At 35.1% G+C, this 23,116-nt stretch overlaps 1 long non-coding RNA gene across 6 annotated transcripts in view; it reads right to left on the bottom strand.

The window, feature by feature from the left end:
- LOC105374914 (uncharacterized) overlaps window positions 1-21,974 on the bottom strand; it is a 91,755-nt gene extending 69,781 nt beyond the window's left edge. For 3 of the 6 annotated variants that reach the window (XR_001743951.1, XR_001743954.1, XR_001743955.1), the window contains exon 1: window positions 21,067-21,520. This is a non-coding gene — a long non-coding RNA (uncharacterized LOC105374914). Of the gene's footprint in view, window positions 1-16,424; window positions 16,695-21,066; window positions 21,521-21,931 lie in introns of those variants that run through there. The other 3 variants (XR_001743953.1, XR_001743952.1, XR_926450.3) reach the window with 3 other exon arrangements.
- Window positions 21,975-23,116: the final 1,142 nt, after the last annotated feature.

The raw sequence follows: 23,116 nt of genomic DNA, 5'->3' as shown, positions 1-23,116 counted from the left end.
AAGCCTGGATAATGATATGAATATTACTCTTCCACCATGATTTGTACATCTTTCAGTACCCACTACATGGCTTAGTATAACAACCTGGTCTTGAGTAAGACTTGGGAAATCTTTGTCAAGTGAACAAATTAAACAATATTTTTTTCTCTGGACAATATCCCATTTGAATATTGAATTAGACAATATGTCGTTTCTCTAGACTCATCCTCTAGGTGACTAGAAACATGCAAAGAATGTGGCTCTATACCTAACAGGGAGAAAAGGCTAGATTATTGTCTTAGTCTGTTCAGGCTGCTATAACAAAATACACAAAACTGGGTGGCTTATAAACAACAGGTATTTATTTTTCACAGCAGGGAGGGCTGGAAGTCCAAGATCAAGGTGCCAGCAAGGTAAGGTTCTGGTAAGGGCCCAGTTTTGGGTTAGCGAATAGTGATTTATTGCTGTGTCCTCATACAGTGGAAAAGACACAGCTGGCTAGAGAGGCTGGATCAAACTAAAATTGAACCCCTTAGAGGTACTGTTACATTGAAAGTAACTCTCCTGGCAACAGTGCCTTTCAGCCATTTGATTTTTTTACTTGACCATTTGATTTTTTCCTTCCACAGGCATAGCTCCTTTATCTTTAAAATGAGAGAGTGGAATTAAGGAACCTTAGAAGTTTTATCCAAATGACAAGGGGCAAGTTAGCTCTCTGAGGTCTTTTTTTATAAGGGCATTAATCCCATTAATGACGACAGAACCCTCAAGACCCAATCACCTGCCTTATAATACTATCACATTAGAGATTAGGTTTCAACATATGAATTTTGGGGAGACAACCATTCAGACCATGGGCATTATCTACAAGACTATAACTTGTCTTAAACTCATTAAAAGTCTAGTTCATAAAGGCAAACAAGTAAATCAAATTCTAAAGGTGAATCATCACATCCAAAGAGAGGCAGGACACAAGAACTGTGTCAGAAATTGCTTAGTGAGAATATAAAAAGGATGACCACCATAGAAATTGGTACAAAATGAAAAAGCAAAAAATTTAATGAACACTTAAAGGCTGAGGAGAATTGGTTAATGTGTTCATTTGGGATTGCTAAGGGCCCTAGACACAAGGAAAGTTGCAAGACTTTATCCGTGGGTCTCTACCATTTGCTTAGGAGAAAGACTAAGGGCTGAGCGGGCGACCAGAATAATTCCCTCTCAGGAGCACTGATAAAGCAGTTGTTAGCATCTGTGAGGGTTAAGGCTCTGTCCACTTTGTAGAAGACTTTAAAACAAAAATAAAGCAAATGGTTTAAGTCTATGAGAAAGGAGAAGAAGAAAACTCAATTAGATTCTGGATAGAAGATAACTCTTATGGCACAGGCAACACTCCATTGCTACTAGGGAAAAGGTTGAACCCTGTATTCCTGGGGAGGAGAAATACAAAACAGTCTGAGACCCAGGATCCTACACAGATTTCAAGTGGAGGCTTGATTCCACTAATGGAGGGGCAGGGAACTTCTACCTAAGATTTTCAAGAAGTATGAAGGGTGTGAGATTTTACCCTACCTTAACAAGCTAAAAACTCATTAGTTTCACACAATTCTCTAAGTGCTGGCAGAATGACATGAGGCTGCTGGGTCAGAGACAGAACGCAGTTTAATACTCACTGCAATAGTGGTAGTCAGAGTGTCATGGTTTTCTTTCCCCAGTACCCTGAGCCCCACTACCCATAAGGTGACATGATGATGAGGGTCAGATGATGCTTTCATATGCAGTCAGTTGCATTACAGAACAAGAGCCCTAATGTAGGATGCTCCAATCTTTCATAATTGACAACAAACAAATCTACCTGACTTTTGCCCCAGAAGAAAAATATGTCTGTATTATACTGCAAACAGTATTGTTGCTGTATTAGACAGCAAACAAATCTGCAGAGGACAGGCATCAGAGGAAGGCACTATCTTTATCTTATAAAGATATTCACTATACAAATATTCTTGAAAAGAAAGTCCAATGAAGAAAAAGGCTGTCAGTGTGTCTGCTGGTCAGATGTACAGAAGGAAAGAGACTGATGGAGAATTATCTCTCCCACCCCACATACACAAAATGCCATGAAGAGGAAGTATGGAAACAGTAAAAATGTATCACTCCTGATGCCCAGACACATTGGTCCTGCCTAACATTGAGGTTGTACCAGAACAACAAAGAACTTTCCCAATTCTACCACTAGCCAAGCACCAAGTCCCTGGTATGGTATTCTATCACTGGGAAAGTGGCAAGAACCTGGAGGGAGACTATACTCTGTGGTGCAAGTATTTAGTGTTGACTAACAATGAATGGGGAAAAAACAAACGGACTCTCAGAAAAACCTAGGAGACTCTATCCTGACTCTATCCTGAGTAGCTTGAGGAGCTTGAAGTCTATAGTTCATTGAAGATAATCATAGCAACAAAAACTCCAAACCACATAAACTCCTGATTAGATTGGCCAAACCCTACATTCTAACTGAAGAACAAAAGAGGAGGTACAATCATTGCTAGGTATAAATATTATCTTCCTGCATTTCTACTATTCTTCTATGCATGATATCTGATATTCAATAAACAATTATGAGATATACACAGAAAAAAAATCAAGAAAAAAGTGAGCAACATAAGGATAGATGACTCATATATTGGAATTAACTGACAGAGGCTTTAAGATAATTGATTAAATATTTTGACACCTGGTGGAAAAGATGGACAATATGAATGGGCAAATGGGAAAATTTAGCACAGGTATACAGAAAGAGTACAATGGAAATGCTGTAAGTTAAAAAAAAAAAAAACCACAACAACAAAACCCAAAACAAACCATTTTAAAAAATCATACATAAAAAAGTAAATCCTTAGGAGGTTCATAAATAGAATGTACACAGATGAGGAAAGATTCAGTGAGTCTGAAATTAGGTAAATAAAAATTATTTAATTTTTTGAATTGAAATTCAAATTGAAATTGAAATACAGAGTTAAAATAAGTGTTTTTTTTTAAAAAAACCACCAAAATCAAAGAGCAACAGCACAATATCGAACGGTATAATTTACATGAAATTGGAGTCCCACAAGAAGGAAAGAGAGAGAGAATGTATCAGAAAAAAAAATGAGGAAGTAGTAGTTGAGAATTTTACAAAAAGAATCAAAACATTAAATCATACCTCTAAAACCCTTGGAAAGCCTCAAGTGGAATAAAAACAAAACAAAGACACACCTACACACATCATAGTTAAACTATGAAAACCAAAGATAAAGAGAAAATCTTGAAGGCAGAGAAAAAAGAAGCATTCTATACAGGGGAATGAAGATAAGGATTATAGCAGACATTTCCTCAGCAACTACACAAACCCAGAACATATCGGAGTGATCATTTTAACAGACTAAGAGAGAAAAAGAAGAACTTGTCAATGAAATTTCACAACCAGTGACAATATCTTCCAAAACTTGAGCCGAATACTTTCTCAGACAAAAAAGAAGGAAGGAAGGAAGGAAGGAAGGAAGGAAGGAAGGAAGGAAGGAAGGAAGGAAGGAAGGAAGGAAGGAAAGAAGGAAAGAGAAAGAAAGAAAGAAAGAGAAGGAAGGAAGGAAGGAAGGAAGGAAGGAAGGAAGGAAAGAAAAGCTGAGGGAATTCATTCTCAGCCGATTTGTCGTGCCAAGTAATACTAAAGGAAAGTTCTTCAAGCAGAAGGAGAATGACAACAAAGGGGAAACTTAAACCTCACAAAGAAATAGAGAAGAGTAAGAATGATACACATGAAGGGATCAATGAGTACTTTAAGGCTATATTGTGGAAAACTGGCAATGAAAATGATACATTTTCTAAAAGAAAATATGCATTATTGCTTAATTCATATGGAAGTGCACCCATGTATGAGATGACGAAAAGCTAGGACCTCACAAATAATAATGATAGTAATAATAATAACAATAGTAATGAAAATAGCAATAATAATTTGAGTCAAAATTTAGGAAATTATTTAGAATGGGAATTTAACAAACACCCACACACCTGGACTCAAACTGTTAAAATCAAACATAAAGAGAAAAGAATGGCAATTACTCTTAGCTTGGCCAGGTGATACCAATAATGGAAAAAATAAACTAAAAACTATCAAAATAAAGCCATTTATATGCACTCAGGGCTTACCAAATCTTTTATTTATCATGCTCCATTCCAATATTTAGTTTTTAACCCAATATTTTGCTTCTGAGAAATATTCCTAAGCAAAGAAAAATAATATTTCTCTCAGGCCTGCTTCATGCTTCATGACTATCACCTTCTTCCCAGCCTGTGTGGCTTTAGCCTCATTTATGGAGTAGCTTTTCTAAATCATAAATCTATCATGCCATTGCAGTTTCTAAAGGCTCTAGAAGGCCTTCCATTATCTTCAGGATCTCTTTGAGATAACACATGGGCACTGTATTAACTGGCCTCATCTTTTTGTTCAGGCAACCCTGGCTACCCTCTCCAGGGAGTCTGTTGACAGCAACCCCCTTGTCAAGAACCAGCCCCTCTTAAGTTTCCAGAACTGTGTAACTGTTTTAATAACCTAAAGCTCTTTCATACTTGTGCACATACTTATCCTCTTAATAACATCCATCTCATAAGGTTTGGTAATGATTAAATATGATAATAAATGAAAATCTCTCAGAACAATATCTGATATATAATAAAGACCAACAAGTTCTAAATCTGGTATTTGAACAAATTGTTTACTTGTACATGTTTTTCTCTGGACTATTTTCCTTCTGTTGTACCTGGCACAACTGGTTATCAAAAATATTTTTTGTTTGAAAGATAAATTCTAACCAATAAGAAGTTAAGAAATATAGTTCAACCCCTTGTGGATTATTATTGCTTTATTTTTTTAAACAGTAGTAAATAGGAAATAATGTTTAAAATGCTTATGATTTAACATAATGAATAAGCTTGATAAAAATTTTACACATAATATTAGTTCAGTATTTAAGAACATGCATGAAAAGAAAATGACCAAAAGGACTTAAATAATTAGTAGCTTTTAGGTAGTCCAGAAAATCTCTGCTCTTGTTTTACTGAGTTTGAGTATGAATTAATTTCTCTTGTCCTTTCAAATACTTCCGTCATGTGCTTGCCATTTTTATGATGAAAAATAAATAGATCTAAAACTGACTTATAGAATATTTTCAAAACTCATTAAAAACAATATAGATTCCAGCATTTCAATCCCAACATTTCAAATATTCGTCTATATTTGATGGTCAGAACACCACAGCTGCCTGTTTTTCCTTCTACTTCTCTTACTACTGCTTCTTAGTATTCCTATTGGTAAATCCTATAACTATTCTTACTTGGTAAATGCAATTACCCCAATTGCCTAATGTAGGAGTATCTCAGAGGTCAATGTTTAGACCTCTTCTTTCTATCTACATTCACTTCCTTTTTATGGCTTTAAATAACTATATGGTGATAACTTCCTAACTCCAGGCTTAAATATCCATATATTCTCAACATATCTTTTTGAACCCCTAAGGGACATCTTAACCTTAACTTGTCTAAAATAGAAACCTTGATCTTTTCTCGCCCCACAACCAAAGGTCTGCATCTTTTGCAATCTTCTCCACTCATTTATTTTCTCAGGAACATATTTATTTTTTTTATTTTTTTGGTTTTCATATTAAAACTCAACCTTGTGTCTCCAAAGCAAAATATCTCAAAAATCAGGCCATTTCTAAGGACTAAGCATGTAGTTATGAAATCATAGGTGTTGAATTATCTCACACTTGACTTGCGATAAATGTGAATTCTTTCTCGTTTCAGAGTGGTTTCTAGGAAATATTATAAATGCTTTTCAGAAAAGGGAATTATTATTTTAAAAGCTCAGTGCCAGGGCTCTTTATGTATCCTTTGGAGTGCATATGCAGAAGAGTCTTGGGGGCCAATAAAATGCTCTTTAGAAGGCACATCTTCTTCCTCATGCTACTTATTTTTATTCATTCATTGATTTAATAACTATGACATGAGCACCTACACTTTATCAGGAATATTTTTCTGAACACTGGACAGTCAGGAATGAACAAAGCATGCAAAGTTCTTGCCTTCACAGAGCTTATATTCTAGTGAATAGAACAGATAGAAATCAAATAGGCAAAATGAATATAAATTATAACAGGCAATATAAAAGTGCATGAAGAGGATACTAGTTATATATCACTGAGGAGGGACATTTTGGGCAGAGACCTGAATGAACAAAGATTTAATTTTTTATAATACAATTCACAATACTGTTAAATTCACCTGCACGGCTCACTGAATTTTGGCAGCCCAACTTCATGGCCAGTGTTGATAAAAATATTTGAAGCTGAGTCTTTTGGACCTTAGATTTGCCAACTTACATGATAGTGTATAATACCTTCCTAATTTGATACAGAATGATAATGTTTGCATTTCACTCAAACTCATCTGAATTATATTGGCTCAGAGGATCCTGCTGAGCTAGAGTGACCATTTCACTGGGAGATGCTATTGGATACAATCCAGATTGTTTCATTTAGCTCAAGAGTAATTTCCCTTTGATTTGACTTGGAAGAAATACTGGTCAACCAAGCTCAGAGCACTATGATAGCAATCCAAAAGCTGAGAAAATAAAAAAGACTATTTTTTAATCATTTTGCTTGATAAACTATATATCTTAGAACTCTGAAGTAACTCTGAAGTCAGAATATTAGGAAACTATGCTGGACCTTTTGAATTAAACTTCTAAGCTTATGTATTCCATAAATGACACAGAAGAGAAGGATGGCTTAAACACCAGAAGAAGGAAAATTAGGAAAAAGTCATAGGAAAATTATGATTTAGAAGTCTAAATACACACATATCTGAGTGTGTGTATATCCTCACATACACAGACGTATATAAACATGTACACACACATAATGTTTGTAACATATCCAGTCATTCATTCAGTCACTGAGCACCTATAATACTCATGTCATGCTTTATTATAGAAAACTGGGGTATTTTCGTGAATCAAAGGAAGATCCTCTCTCTCATGAAGTTTATCTTAGAGTAGAGCAAAATAGACAGTACTCAGTAAACAACAGATATAATAAACCAATGCATTATTTAGCACATGAGATGATAACTGCAATAAAAAAAGGAAAACTAGGATAGGAAAGGAAGATGAGGAGTATTAACATAAAGGATGGGTTATGTGTTCAAACAAGGTAGATAGGGCAAGGAATGATGAAAGAGTATGAGGTATGTGGCAAAATATGTAGAATGCATTTAGATGTGTAATATGAATATGTATTTATATACAAAATATATTTCAGGTTGACACATACATATATGAGATGAATACATACAGTAAATACATATATATTCATAAACATTTCTATTAAAATATTTTTCTTTAAGTAATAGTAATCTTTCTTACATGTATTTTCTAAATAAAATATTCCTGATATTCACTTGAAGACATTTAATATTCTCACAGATGAACGGAATAATAGATATACATATGTAAGTAAATATATTTGCAAATTATTTCTTAAACATGCTGTTTATTGCTTAATTTTAAAGGTTAAGTTCATTTTTCTACATGTAAATAGCAAAGACCTGGTTACCGATGACGTATACCTGCCTTTGAAATTCAGGTGTCACATTCCTACCTTTAGAGACAATGCATGCATTTTTACAGTTAATAGGAGTACTTGGCCAGGCAGAAGATATGTGTAACCATTATTAAAGTCATTTTATCGAACACTAGTTTTCTTCACTGCCTATATTTAGCAGATAGATATAAAGGACAGAAATGTAGAAGATAGCAGCATCAAGCTGATACAGGAAGTCTATAACACACATGGCTAAAAAGTAATTATGCTAAGATTGAGTCAAATAAAATAATATTTTGTCTTTGGTTTGAGGTTTGTAATCTTGGCGTTCACTTCTCTTCATTGCCTCATTTATGTTGGGTAACTATTGCTTGTGTTGATGATATAACACATGCTGACACCAAATATCAATGCTAGGTAAATCCAATTAAGCCCAGAAGCAAAACAGCTGGATTAGCAGTGCTTGCATAAATTATTTTTCTCCCATTTACTTTGTTTTTTTGCAAATGAGCCTTTAAACATGAAAAATTTGAGCTATCAGTGTCCCCATTCCTTATTAATATAAGAAGCCTAAAATAAAACCTTTAAAAGTAAGTGTTGGAGGTTTCCTTTTATGCTATTAATACAAGTGTTATGATTAAAGCTGCAAATGAGCATGCCTATTTTCTATATGGACTTCCTGTTTGTGAAAGAAGCTTATCAGAAGTGCATTTAAAGTGTATCTTAATAAAGAATTTCCCCCTGAAGGCTAAGAAGCTATATTATTTTTACCAGTTTTGAGTTCTCTTTTTTCCTTCTTTATCCAGAAGCATAAAGTCAGTAAATGACATAAAAACAATTTAACTAGTTAGGTTTTCAGAATAATGGATTTGCTGCTGTTAAATCAAAATACAAGGTAAAGTCATACATGAACAAAAAGGTATTTTGTCTCTTTCATTAAGAGCCATGAATAAGTATCTCATTACCTTTGTAAATATTTTGATAAAAACCACAAATTTTGATTAGTGTGATATTAACTGCATGATAAATAAAGATATATTTGAAATGTAAAAAAGAGTGAAAATGTAAATTACATTTTTACCTTACTGCTAGATTTTTAAAAATCCCTTCGTGGTGGGCAATAGATTCCTTTGTTTAAAAAATTATTGATTGTGAAATTTATGAGCTATCCTGATTTAATTTGTAATAAAGCTCTTAGTTTTTTGCATACCCTTCTTTGGTATGGATAAGAGAAACTTCTTTTAAAAAGCTTGCTGCTTACTTTCCAATACCGACTTTTGAATTATTCACTTCAGAATCCTTACATCTCTGTGTCCACCACCCTCCATTGTTAGCGCATCAGCCTTACCTAATCACAATCCAACTTACATGCTGAAAAGTCCACTTACACCAGATCCCCCAACTTTATGAAATTTCTGCCTTTGCCCTCCATCTTTAGAGACACTATTAAGACTCAAGTAATGCAGTGATTCCCTTTATTGAAGTCAGTATTTCTTTCTCTTTTTTTAACTGTAAAAATCTGTCTCTACTGAGAAGAAATGACCACCTTCAATTACAGTGTATATGTCACTGAAAAGTATTTAAATGAGAGCAGGATATAATATTTGACAACTTTAAAAATCTATTATCAGATTATAACAGTATCAGAAAAAATATAGTTTTGTGATATTAAGGTATTAGGTTATTAAGTTTAGAATAAATCAGAAAAAATCTAAAAAGAAATTCAACCAACTGTAAACCCACTTGACACTTAGTGAGTCTGCTTTTATTTGGTTAAATAGAAAATAAATCATAATTGAAGTCTAATTATTAAATCTTCAACAAACAGTATTACAGAAACACTGTTTTGTTTTGTTTTTATTCCACTGGAGGAAGAACAAAAGTAAAACTTTCTTTAAAGTTCTTCAAAATTTTTCAGGGAAGAGGTATAATCAACCACCCATTTTCTACTGCAAATTAAAGTATATTGTTATTCCTGCAACTTAAGGTGGGTAATTTTTTTCACCTTTTTTTATTGAAAGGAATCCTCACATTGATAGCTAAAGCTAAGATGAAAAATCAGCATTTTCATGCCAAACAGTGAAAATTCAAAAATGGTTTACATAGTTTTCAAATACACTCTATTCTCAAATCCTTTCCAACATGAAAGACACTTTTTGCAGGGAGAAAATGATCATTTAATTTGGCAAAACACAGAAATTTCCAGCTGAGGCACATTAAAACATTTTTACAATTGCCCCAAAGGCAGAATATTTTTACAATTTCTTTTCCTATAAAAATCTGTCTCTACTGAGTGGAAATGACCAAGTTTTCCCTGGAAAATGTTAGCACAAATACATAAATAATTTTTGCCTATCCAAAGCCTTCATAAAATGGCTTCTATCCAGTTTTACCAGTAAAGCGTAATGTTGATTTTCTTTATAATTATTATTTAGATTCAAACAAAATCTTACTGGTAAATTAACCATTGATAGACTAAGTCTTGGTTATATTATTTTTATAAAGAAATAAATTACTAGTATATGTGCTTCTAACAAAAGTTAATAATCCTGTTTGGCTATGTGTTTAATTTCAGATAACTTTCACACTAAACTTATATAGGAGCAATGTTTATGACAAGATAGGAAAGTTCACCAAGAGATGAAAACTATATAAAATAAAAAAGTCAAATAGAAATGTGAGAAATGAAAAATAAAATATTAAAGATAAAGAATTTTTTAGAGGCCTATGAATAGGGTAGACAGAGGGAAAGAATCAGTGAACTTAAAAGTAGGACAATAGAAAATATACAAACTAATATAAAAGGAGAAAAAAGTGAAATAAAAATACAAAGTAGAAAACAAAATAAAAACGTAAACATAAAAGTGAAATGAAAGCATATTGTTCCCATGTTCTGTGGAACAATAGCAAATAGCCTATCTAGCAAATCACTGGAGTTTCAGAATTAGAGGAGAAAAAAGAATGACTATGATTTCAGCTAAAACGCTCTGAAGTGTGAAATACTTGGAAGTCATCACCCTTGTCCTTACAACAACAAAAAAAAGCTGTAAAAACTGAAAATCAGCAACTTTTCTTAGGTTCATCAGAGAATAAAGGTAATTAGAAAAACTGCCACTCCAAAATTAAGAGAGACAAATGAAGTAAATACATCAGCCGAGATATGCCTACCTGAAAAAAAATTGCTGGATTCAAAAACTGGTGAAAACCATTAAGTGGTAATTTTTATCCATTGCTACAGACCAAGTGTGGATTAGGTTGAGAGTCAGAAATTCTAGGGGCCTGAAATCTTAGCAGGGGCCTATGCTATTTCATGGTTTACACCTCTAGAAACTCACCAAAAATTCTGCAGAAAACAGCCAATAAAATTTTTCTTACTGACCCTCGCAGGGGAAAAAAAAAGAGTAACTATGTGAAATATGTCCAGAGCATTCTCCATAACAAAAACTGTCTCTCCAAGGAGAAAAATCTTTACCCAAACCATATTCCACTGGAGGAAATACACTTCTGTAACTCTAGTCCCCTCTATTCTTTCTGTCTTGTGTAAGGGAGATGGGAGCTAAAAAGTGTTAGTTAAGATTATTGCTCAGGGATATGGATTCACTAAAAGACTGAGATTTGATTATGAGATTATAGAATGCTTCCCATTCCCCACACAATATAACAGCAGTGCATTGTGGTGGAAATAGCTTCAATATATAGACTTTATTTAAGTAGGAGTACTCAGGAAAGCCAAAGATAACAAGTGTAACAACAAGGAAACTAGAGGCATCTGATGTCTCCACCATCTACAGCTACAGGAAACATTAAAAAACCCAATTCGTAGCCAGATAAACATACAACAATCACACTAAAGCCTCATTTCTATCACCTGACACCCCATTTTTGCTTCAAAAAAAGATTGATTACAAAGCATGCTAAAGGAACTTTAAAAAGCACATACTGAAGAGACAAACCAAGCATCAGAACCAGACTTACATTTGAAACATATTTTGAAATTATCATACAAGGAATTTAAAATAACTATGATTAATATATTAAAGGCTCTATTGGGAAAAACGAACAACATGCATAAACATATGCACAATATAGTTGAAATATAGACACACTGAGAATCAAAAGGAAATTCTAGAAATTAAAAACACTACAAAAAGAAATAAAAAATGTCATTGATGAGCTCAGCAGTAAACTTTGCACAGCTAAGGAAAGAACCAGTGAGCTTGAAGATAGGTCAATAGAAATTTCACAAACTGAAATGCAAAGAGAAAAAAAATTAAAACCCCAGAAGTTTACATACAAAAATTGTAGGACAATTTCAAAAGATGCAACATATGTATAATTGGAATACCATAAGGAGAGAAAAGACAGGAGAGGCAGAAGAAATATTTGAAGTAATAATGGTCAAGAATTTTCCAAAATTACTGAATTTCTCACAGACACCAAACCACAAATCTAGAAAAATCAGAGTACAACCAGCAGAATAATCTATACTTAAGCATATCATATTCAAATTGTAGAAAATCAAAAACAAATAGAATAGCTTGAAAGAAGCCAGGGAAAAGACTACATTATCTATAGAGGTCTTATGGTCTGAATGTTTATGTTCCTCCCAAATTCATATATTGAAATCTTAAAAACAAGTTGATGATACCAGGGGGAGGGGCCTTTGGCAGGTGGTTAGTCAGTAAAGGCCTCAGAAAGCTAGCTAGCCCCTCCCACCATGTGAGAACAAAGTAAGAAGTTGCCAGTTTGTAACCCAGAAGAAAACCCCCACCAGAACCCTACCATGTTGGCACCCTGATCTTTGACTCCCCGGCTCCAAAACTGTGAAAAATAATTTTTTGTTGTTTATAAGCAACATGGTATATGGTATTCTGTTATAGCAGCCCTAATTGGCTAAGACAAGATGAATGAGGAAAAAAAGTAAAGCAGACTTCTCAGAAATCATGCAAAGAAGAAAGGAGGGAGGTAACACATTTAAGGTATTCAGAGAAAAATATTCAATAGCCTAAAATTCTATAGCCAGTAAAATTATCATTTAAAATAATTAAGAAATAAAGATTTTCTCAGATGAACAACACCTAGTGGAATTTATTATCAGCAGAACTTCCCTGTAAGAAATTCTTCAAGAAGAATGAAAACTCTACAAGTCAGAAGGTCATAGCTATGCAAATAAAGGAAGAGTATCAGAGAAGGAATAGTTGAAGCTAAAATAAATGCAAATAAAGTAAGAGTATCAGAGAAAGAATAAGTGAAGCTAAAATAAAGTATTTTATTCTTATTCTTGATCTATATAAAATATAACTTTAGAGTAATAACAGTGCAGTATATTGCGTGATTATAGAAAATGGATATTGAGGAGTACAGTTTCTGCTTAAAAACCTACGTGTCATTTTTGAGGCCTCACCACAGGCAATTAAAAGATTTTAATTGTAAGGCCTCCCTGAAGAAAGTTGCCCTCCCCACACCAGACTTGCCCAGCTAGAGCACTGCAGTCTCTGAAGGGAGATAAATAAAAGATGAATGAAATAGAAGAAACCATAAATAGGGAGGGCTGTGTGAAAAAAGGAGATAACACGCAAAGAATCCTGGGGAAGCTCCACCCTTGAATCAATAGAAAAAAACAAAAAAGCAGAGTGAGAAATAAGGTTGGAAATAAGATAACGAAAGGTCTGTTTAAGAAGAATTCACCCTTCCTCTCCTATGACAATCCTTACCCACCTACCCTAATGAACAGAATTCAAATAAAGCTCACTCTCATACAGAAAATTAGAAAGCTCTTTTCTGAAGCTGTTGAACAAACTAAACAGAACTGTAGTAGTTGTTGTGCATTAGACATATTTGCCACTGGGTCCCCATCTGCTCTCTAAATAAAAGTCACCCACTGGCCCAGGCTTACAAATATCCCACTCAGTTCTTTTGCTGCTTCAATTTAAAACATAGATATCCTGTAGCAATAAATACAATGATTAACAAAAATAGAAAAACTGACTAAAATTAGACAAGAAAATTTGGAAAAATAAACTTCAGAAAGTTTTTTGAGTGAAAAGAGAAGCCATAGAATATTAAGTGAAGAAAAACGAATCTCTAATAAGTTCAGAAATAGGGGATTACAAAATGGAGAAAAGGAAATTATCAAAGACATAATAGAAGAAAAAATTCAGAGTGAATGAATAGTAAGCAAATTTCATGTAAAAATCACGAGACTTTTTTCACATCTCAGTATACTGGACTTAGACTCTACTGGGGGAACCTCTCTGCAGACAATAACTATGAAACCTGGACCAAAAAAAAAAAAAAACTACGTAAAGGTACAAAATACTGAACAGAAGCAAATATATTCTTACAGACAATCTATGCTATAAGGGGAGACAGGAGTTGTACAAATAATTCCCATGTTTGAGGGGCTAGGTTCGGTCTTTTGGGCAAGTGACAGCTCAGGGAATGTACCTGGAAAACTCCAAAATATATCTAGCTGGAAAACTAGAAAAAATAAGCCTGGAAGCTATAAATACTGAAAAGAATGGGAAATCCCAGAAGGGAAAGTACTGGAAACAAATCCCCAAATTCTGCCTCCCCACTTCACTGACTCATATATATCTGAACTACACATGTGTAGAACAGAATCTTAGCGGTTCAAACAAGAAAACAATTTTTTTTGTTACAATTCTGAAGGTACTGAATTATTTTATTTTATTTTTTGAGATGGAGTCTCACTCTGTCTCCCAGGCTGCAGTGCAGTGGCACAATCTTGACTTGCTGCAACCTCTGCCTCGCAGGTTCAAGCGGTTCTCCTACCTCAGCCTCCCGAGTAGCTGGGATTACAGGTGGACCCCACCACGCCCAGCTAATTTTTTGTATTTTTAGTACAGACAGGGCTTCGCCATATTGGCCAATCTGGTCTTGAACTCCTGACCTCAGGTGATCTGCCTGCCTCGGCCTCCCAGAATGCTAGGATTACAGGTGTGAGCCACCACACCCGGCCATAAGCAGGTAGAATGTGGTGGAGTGGAAGCTACTTGGAGGAAGGTAGATAAGAAACTGAGTTTCTCAATTTGCAATTTTACCTTGTAGCTAGGTGCAGTCCACAGAGCACTCAGGAGAGACAAGGGCATGCATGGAAATGCTCCAGTCTTCCTGATCTGGTGAAGAAGATAAGAGAAGCCAAGAAACCAGGAAAACTGAAAAGACAACACAAATCTCCATAGAGAAAGAGCCAGATGAATGATTCTGAAAGCAGTTGAATTCTAGGCATTAAAAATGACTTTGTAAAACAAAAGGAAAAATGCTTATCACATAATAATAATGGAATCCAGTATCCTCTGAACACAGTATTCATAATATAAGGGACATAATCCAAAGTTATCCAATATGAGAAGTACTAAGAAAACAGAACATATCCTCAAGAAATAAGAAATTGAGTCCAACCCAAGATGAGTCACATGTTGCAACAAGTTTAAATGAGCTATTAATAACTATCCAAGGAGAAAAAATAAAACAAAATACCACGTCACAGAAACAGAAATAAGAAGAAAAACTAAATGGAAATTCTCATAATAAAAAAGAACATTTTTTGAAATAAAAAATCTACCGAATTAACTTTGTCAAAGATATGACAAAAGAAACAGTGTGTGAACTTAAAGACAGAAAAATTAAAATGATTCAAGGTCAAAAACAGAGAGGAAAACAAACCAAGATAAATATCACCTCACAGATGTGTCAGATAATATTCATATAGTCAAACATACGTATGACGGTTACATTAGAAGACAGAAGATATTTAATGAAGAAGAAAAAGATATACTCAAAGAAACAGTCGTTGAAAATATCTGAAGTTTTCAGGTACAATATTCTAAACAAAGAATAAGCAAAATAAACATCAAAGAAACCTACACGGGCACACACTGAGTAAAGCTGTTGAAGGCCAAAGATAAACACCAAATATTGAAATCAACAAGAGAAAGACAGCACATTACCTATAGGGAAACAGCTATCCAATTAAAGGCTTACCTCTTATAATAAACCACAGAGGCCGGAAGAACACGAATAAAATCTTTGAGTTGTGAGGGAAAATACCAAAACTGTTTAATTAGATTTCTATATTCAGTGAAAATATTCAAGAATGAAAACAAAATAAGACATTTTTAACTAAAAGAAAACCTAAGAGAATTTATTGTCAGTAGACTTACAGATCAAGAAGTGTGAAAGATATTCTTCCAGCTGAATGAAAATTATATTAAATGGAAACTGATCATCAGGGAGAAAAACAATCAGAAATGGTAAATGTAAAAGGCTATCTTTAGTTTGGGGAGGTGATTTTTCTTAATTATATTGTAAACCATTGCTTGAAACTAAAATATATTGCCTTGTATAATATAAACTCTACATTGTCTTGTGGAGTTTATAAGTAGATGTATTACATATAACAATTGTAACATAAAGAATGGTGCAGGTGTATGGACAATAAAACGGAAAAACTAGTGCAGCTATCTATTGGATTAATTTCGCCAATGTATAGAAAGACAAAGAACAAAAAACCTACACCATCCTTAGCAAAAGAGCGAATGAATATCAGGCAAACAAAAATAAAGGCTCTTTACTATTGTTACAGGGGAAATAGTAGTTATCACTGAAGGTGGGATTTGGGATAATTTTTTACCTATTTTTAAGATGTTTTAACGCAACCATTTTAAGCATAGAACAAAAACAAGTGTATATTTTTTTTAAAAGAGTGAATTAACTAAGAAATCGTCTAGAACTAGAGAAGAACATTTGTTTATAAAATAGTTTATAAAAGCCAGGCGCGGCGGTTTGTACCTGTAATCCCAGCTACTTGGAAGGCTGAGGCAGGAGGATCTCTTGAACCCTGGAGTTTTTGAGGTTGCTGTGAGTTATGCTCACGTCACTACACCTCATCCAGCCTGGGTGACGGGGCTGACTCCCCTCTCTCACTCTCTCTCTCTCTCTTTTTTTTTTGTTTTTTTTTCTTTGAGACGGAGTCTCGCGCTATCGCCCAGGCTGGAGTGCAGTGGCGCGATTTCGGCTCACTGCAAGCTCCGCCTCCCGGGTTGACGCCATTCTCCTGCCTCAGCCTCCCGAGTTGCTGGGACCACAGGCGCCCGCCACCACGCCCAGCTATTTGTATTTTTAGCAGAGACGGGGTTTCACCGTGTTAGCCAGAATGGCACCGATCTCCTGACCTCGTGATCCACCCGCCTTGGCCTCCCAAAGTGCTGGGATTACAGGCGTGAGCCACCGCGCCTGGCCGACCCCCATAACTCTTAAAAAAATTTGTTTAAAAGGCAGTTACGCTGGCTGAACCCATAGAGATGACTCACCAATCCTCTAACCCAAATAGACACACCTTTTATTTTTTTCTCTTTTTTCCTTTCTAGGTCAGTTAAGAATAAAACATGGAAAAGAAGAGATCAAAGGAACAGAGAGCATTGATACTCAAACTGATAACTCTAGGCAGTCATTTAGTATCATTCCTTTCATTAGCTCTCAGACCCAGAGTTTTTTAAGTATATTATCTCTTGTGGAGTTACATACAAACCTATTTGGCCTGATGTCCCATAGCCAGAAATAATTCCAAAAGATGTCTGAATCTGTGGTAAAGCTAAAGGATGACATTGAAAGATGTATTCAAAGTAATATTGGAATTAATAGATTATATTGAACTATTAATATCTAGAATTAATAGAGGATTAGACAGATTATTTACTTGTGACTTTTTGAAAATAAAAAAGCCTGCTATGTGGGTCTCATCTCTCATGTAAAACCTAACTGCATTAATATATTTGGTATTTGGATATCTTTTAAAATATTCTATTTTAAAAAATATTTAAAATATGTCTATTTTTAAAATAGGAAAAATACGTATTTTTCTATGCAGGCTAGTTCTTAAAAACTAGATGTTATTTTATTGAAGCCTATAGCCCAAGCCTCATCAGTTAGGCCCTACGGCTACCTTCACTGAGTGGTCACAGAGAAGTTACCAAAGGGGAAAAGGGTTGCTGTGCACCAAGAAAGTGATTGAAAACATGCACATGAAACAGGCAACCCAAAATATTGTTCTAGGTACAATATTTTGTTATAGTCATTCCATAGTCTATAATGTTTCATTACATAGTTTATATAAAATTGATCACATAGTAAATTATTCACTTATATGTATCATTTTGAAATATTCTAATGTAGTTAAACAAGTTTAGGTCAAGTTTTTAAACATAATACCGTCATGTGTCACTTTATGATGAGGATATATTCTAAGAAATGCATCATTAACAATTTAATCATTGTGTGAACATCACAGAATGTACTTACACAAACCTAGATGGTGTAGCTTACTACACACCTAGATTATATGGTAGAGCCTATTGCTCCGAGGCTACAAACCTGTACAGCATGTTATTGTACTGATTACTGTAGGTAGTTGCAATACAATTAAATATTTGTGTATTTAAACACATCTAAATATAAAAAAGTACAGTAAAAATATAGCATAAAATATTTTATAATGATACACCTCTATAGGACACTTCACATGAATGGAGCTTGCAGGACTGGAAGTAGCATTGAGTGAGTGAGTGAGTGAGTGAATGAGTAGTAAGTGAATATGAAGGTCAAAGGACATTACTGAACACTACTGTAGACTTCATAAATACTATGTATTTAAGCTACAGTAAATTTATTTTTAAAATATTTTTCTTTCTTCAATAATAAATTAAACATATAACTTTTCTTGTCCATAAACTTTAATTTTTTTAAGTTTTCAACTTTTTTTTTTTTGAGACAGGGTCTTGCTCTGTAGCCCAGGCTGGAGTGCAGTGGCGCGATCTTGGCTCACTGCAACCTCTGCCTCCAAGGTTCAAGCGATTCTCCTGCCTCAGCCTCTTGAGTAGCTGGGACTACAGGTGCATGCTACCACATCTGGCTAATTTTTCCTGTTAGCTAGGATGGTCTCCATCTCCTAACCTCGTGATTGGCCCACCTTGGCCTCCCACGATGCTGGGATTACAGGCATGAGCCACCATGCCTGACCGTGTTTTACTTTTAATTGTTTTTTAAACCAAGACACAAAAACACCCTTTAGCTTAGGTCAAGATCATGGAGCTGTCACTAGGCCATAAGAATTTTTCAGCCCCATTATAATCTCATGGGACAACTGTCATATATATGGTCCATCATTGACCAAAATGTCAGTATTCAGCATACTTTAAGGATGATTTACTTTTATACATATCAAGAAATGTGGGGTTGTTTGTTGTTTTCTTATAAATTTGTTTGAGTTCATTGTAGATTCTGGATATTAGCCCTTTGTCAGATGAGTAGGTTGCGAAAATTTTCTCCCATTTTGTAGGTTGCCTGTTCACTCTGATGGTAGTTTCTTTTGCTGTGCAGAAGCTCTTTAGTTTAATTAGATCCCATTTGTCAATTTTGTCTTTTGTTGCCATTGCTTTTGGTGTTTTAGACATGAAGTCCTTGCCCATGCCTATGTCCTGAATGGTAATGCCTAGGTTTTCTTCTAGGGTTTTTATGGTTTTAGGTCTAACGTTTAAATCTTTAATCCATCTTGAATTGATTTTTGTATAAGGTGTAAGGGAGGGATCCAGTTTCAGCTTCCTACATATGGCTAGCCAGTTTTCCCAGCACCATTTATTAAATAGGGAATCCTTTCCCCATTGCTTGTTTTTCTCAGGTTTGTCATGAACAGACACTTCTCAAAAGAAGACATTTATGCAGCCAAAAAACACATGAAAAAACGCTCATCATCACTGGCCATCAGAGAAATGCAAATCAAAACCACTATGAGATACCATCTCACACCAATTAGAATGGCAATCATTAAAAAGTCAGGAAACAACAGGTGCTGGAGAGGATGTGGAGAAATAGGAACACTTTTACACTGTTGGTGGGACTGTAAACTAGTTCAACCATTGTGGAAGTCAGTGTGGCGATTCCTCAGGGATCTAGAACTAGAAATACCATTTGACCCAGCCATCCCATTACTGGGTATATACCCAAATGACTATAAATCATGCTGCTATAAAGACACATGCACACATATGTTTATTGCGGCATTATTCACAATAGCAAAGACTTGGAACCAACCCAAATGTCCAACAATGATAGACTGGATTAAGAAAATGTGGCACATATACACCATGGAATACTATGCAGCCATAAAAAATGATGAGTTTCATGTCCTTTGTAGGGACATGGATGAAATTGGAAATCATCATTCTCAGTAAACTATCGCAAGAACAAAAAACCAAACACTGCATATTCTCACTCATAGGTGGGAATTGAACAATGAGATCACATGGACACAGGAAGAGGAATATCACACTCTGGGGACTGTGGTGGGGTGGGGGGAGTGGGGAGGGATAGCATTGGGAGATATACCTAATGCTAGATGACGAGTTAGTGGGTGCAGTGCACCAGCATGGCACATGTATACATATGTAACTAACCTGCACAATGTGCACATGTACCCTAAAACTTAAAGTATAATAAAAAAATAAAATAAAATAAAATAAAAAGAAATGTGGCCAGGCACAGTGGCTCATGCCTGTAATCCTAGCAGTTTGGGAGGCCGAGGTGGGTGGACTGCCTGAGCTCAGGAGTTCAAGACCAGCCTGGCCAACATGGTGAAACCCCATCTCTACTAAAAATACAAAAAATTAGCTGGGTGTGGTGGCACTTGCCTGTAATCCCAGTTACTCAAGAGGCCGAGACATGAGAATCGCTTGAACCTGGGAGGCAGAGGTTGCAGTGAGCCGAGATTATGCCACTTCGCTCCAGAGGGAGGCTCTGTCTCAAAAAAAAAAAAAAAAGAAGAAGAAATACGGGTGAAAGGGTACAGCTCAACGAAGGCTATAGATAACTTATTTAACTGCATCCTAAGTTGAAAAAAAAATCTGTTCACGATGCACCTCACTGTATTTCAATGAATTCAAAGATAGTTATTAAGATAAAGTTTTTCAAAACCTTTAAATACATTAGTTTTTGAAAATAAAGATTCCATGTACAATTAATAATTTGAAAATTATTTCCATATCAATGATTTACTTACCAAAAAAGCATTATCAAACTTCCTTATGCATTACATACATACATGTGAATTACAATAGACTAGCTTGTTTTCCCCAGTGATTTGTTTCTTTTGTGTAGTAGGATTCTCATGGATGTATGACTTTCTAATTCATTGTTTGAGAATACATGTTCCTATCTCTTTGAGATTAACATGTGACATGCTTTACTCAATAGGATGTGAAGTACTGGACTTGTTGCTAATTAATCCCAAGACAACCAGGTTTAAATGGAAGCAAGTACTGAGTTCAACAGATGTGATGGACCCATTCTAATGAGGGCCGCATGATCCCTACCTCTTGGTATCTATGTTTTCTGTATCCCCCCACACCTTGAATAGCGTCAGGATCTATGATATACTTACAAGAAATAGAATGCCTCAAAGACGATGGGAGGTCACTCTTGTATGTGCCTCATGTTGTAAGTCTCCATCTTGCTAGATGACTGCCTCTAGACACTGTCTCCCTTGCTGGCTTTGAAGAAGTATAATAAGTGACCATGTCAGGAGGCCCGTGTGGCAGGAAGCCCAGGCCTACGACTAGGTGCTGAGGACAGCTTCCAGCTTCCACCCAACAAGAGCTAGAGTTCCCAAACTTACAGTCACAAGGAATTGAATTCTGGCAACACTTGAGTGAGTTTGGAAGCACAGCTTTCCCCAGTGAAGCCTCCAGTTGAGAACTCGGCTCAGGCCCACACTTTGATTGCAGCCTGGCAGAGGACTTCAATAAACCTCACCTGGACTCCCAAGGTGTTAAATGTGTCTGTTGTTTTATACATCCAAATTTCTAGTGGCTTGTTGGTATAGATTATGTATATAATCTATACTGGATTTGATTTTGATATATATATCAGATTCTGATTATATATATGTAATATATATTATATATTAGAGCATATATACATATTCCAATATAATAGAAAAAGAATACAGCAGAATCATATATGTAGTTTTTATTTTCATATATATATTTCATGCATTGAAGTATGCAAAATAGTACAATGGACATAATTTTTAAAAATTCTGTGAAATGCATGAGTATCTTGATCTATCTATATAAATATCTAGAAGTTAGACCGGACGTGGTAGCTCATGCCTGTAATCCCAGCACTTTGGGAGGCTGAAGCAGGTGGATCACCTGAGGTCAGGAGTTCAAGACCAGCCTGGCCAACATGGCGAAACCCCGTCTCTACTAAAAATACAAAAATTAGCCAGGCGTGGTGGCACATACCTGTAGTCCTAGCTACTCGGGAGGCTGAGGGAGAATTGCTTGAACCCAGGAGATGGAGGTTGCAGTGAGTAGAGATCGCGCCATCGCACTCCAGCCTGGGCAACAAGAGCAAAAATCTGTCTCAAAAAATAAATAAATAAATATCTAGAAGTTAAAATTATAATCATTAATTATTAATAATAGTTATTTCCCATTTAGGAACCTGGGAATTTTGCAGAGTTCACTTGGAGTCAACTGGATTTGAAGATAGGTGGGGTACAGCAAGTGACAGACAAGGTTCTAGTCCTTCCTTGATACTTTTCTCTGATACTGTTGCTAGCAAAGAAAGAAAATATCCACTTAAATGAGTTTTATTATTTAACATTATTGATAGAAAATTATTAATATTGTAACTGATGTGCCAGTAAGTTTCATTTAGAGGTTTTTGCCTATCATTCGTGAAATCCATCACAAAGATTTTATAAACACCATGCACATATCACAAAGATTTTATAAACACTGTGTACATATAAATGAAAGCTACTAGGACTAACCTTAAATTTATCTTTTACATTAATATGACAAGAAAAAGAGCACTTGATAATTATAGAGTAAGATCTGCTTATTGAGATAGCAAATAGTCATGTCAGCATTTCCACTGTTTAAATGTTGTTTGATGATCACAAAGTTACACATCAGGAAAGTATCTTCAAAAGTCATTACTAAGCCATCTTGAGAACACACCACATTAAATACACTTGCTTATCCATCCATTGATATCTCTGCACTTTAAAATACCATAAACAATTGCCTTTGATGATTTCAATCACAGAAAGTCAGAGATATTTGAAGGACCATTGCTAAAGAAGAAAGGCCAGATATGCATGAGTCATCAGTTCAGCCTCTAAACTAGATCAAAGAGACATCCAAAAATGAACTACTATTTACTGTTCTGAAGGCAATCATGGTATTTAGCTGACCACAATGTAAACTTTTCTCCATCTATGTGAAATAGGCATTGTAGTCACAAATAATTATTGCACTCTAGGAAGAGATATGCAATGAAGTTTGTTGAGCTGGTATTTACCATTATCTTTTCGAAAATAATTCTTAAGAATCAAGTAGAATTTCAGAAGTCAGTTATTTTTTTTAATTAAATATACTTAGCTGTGCTGTTTCAGAGTTTTTTAACCCTTTTTCAAACTG

The sequence above is a fragment of the Homo sapiens genome, chromosome 6, assembly GCF_000001405.40.
Source record: "Homo sapiens chromosome 6, GRCh38.p14 Primary Assembly".
Taxonomy (NCBI): Eukaryota; Metazoa; Chordata; class Mammalia; order Primates; family Hominidae; genus Homo; species Homo sapiens.
This window is presented reverse-complemented; position numbering and strand designations above follow the sequence as displayed.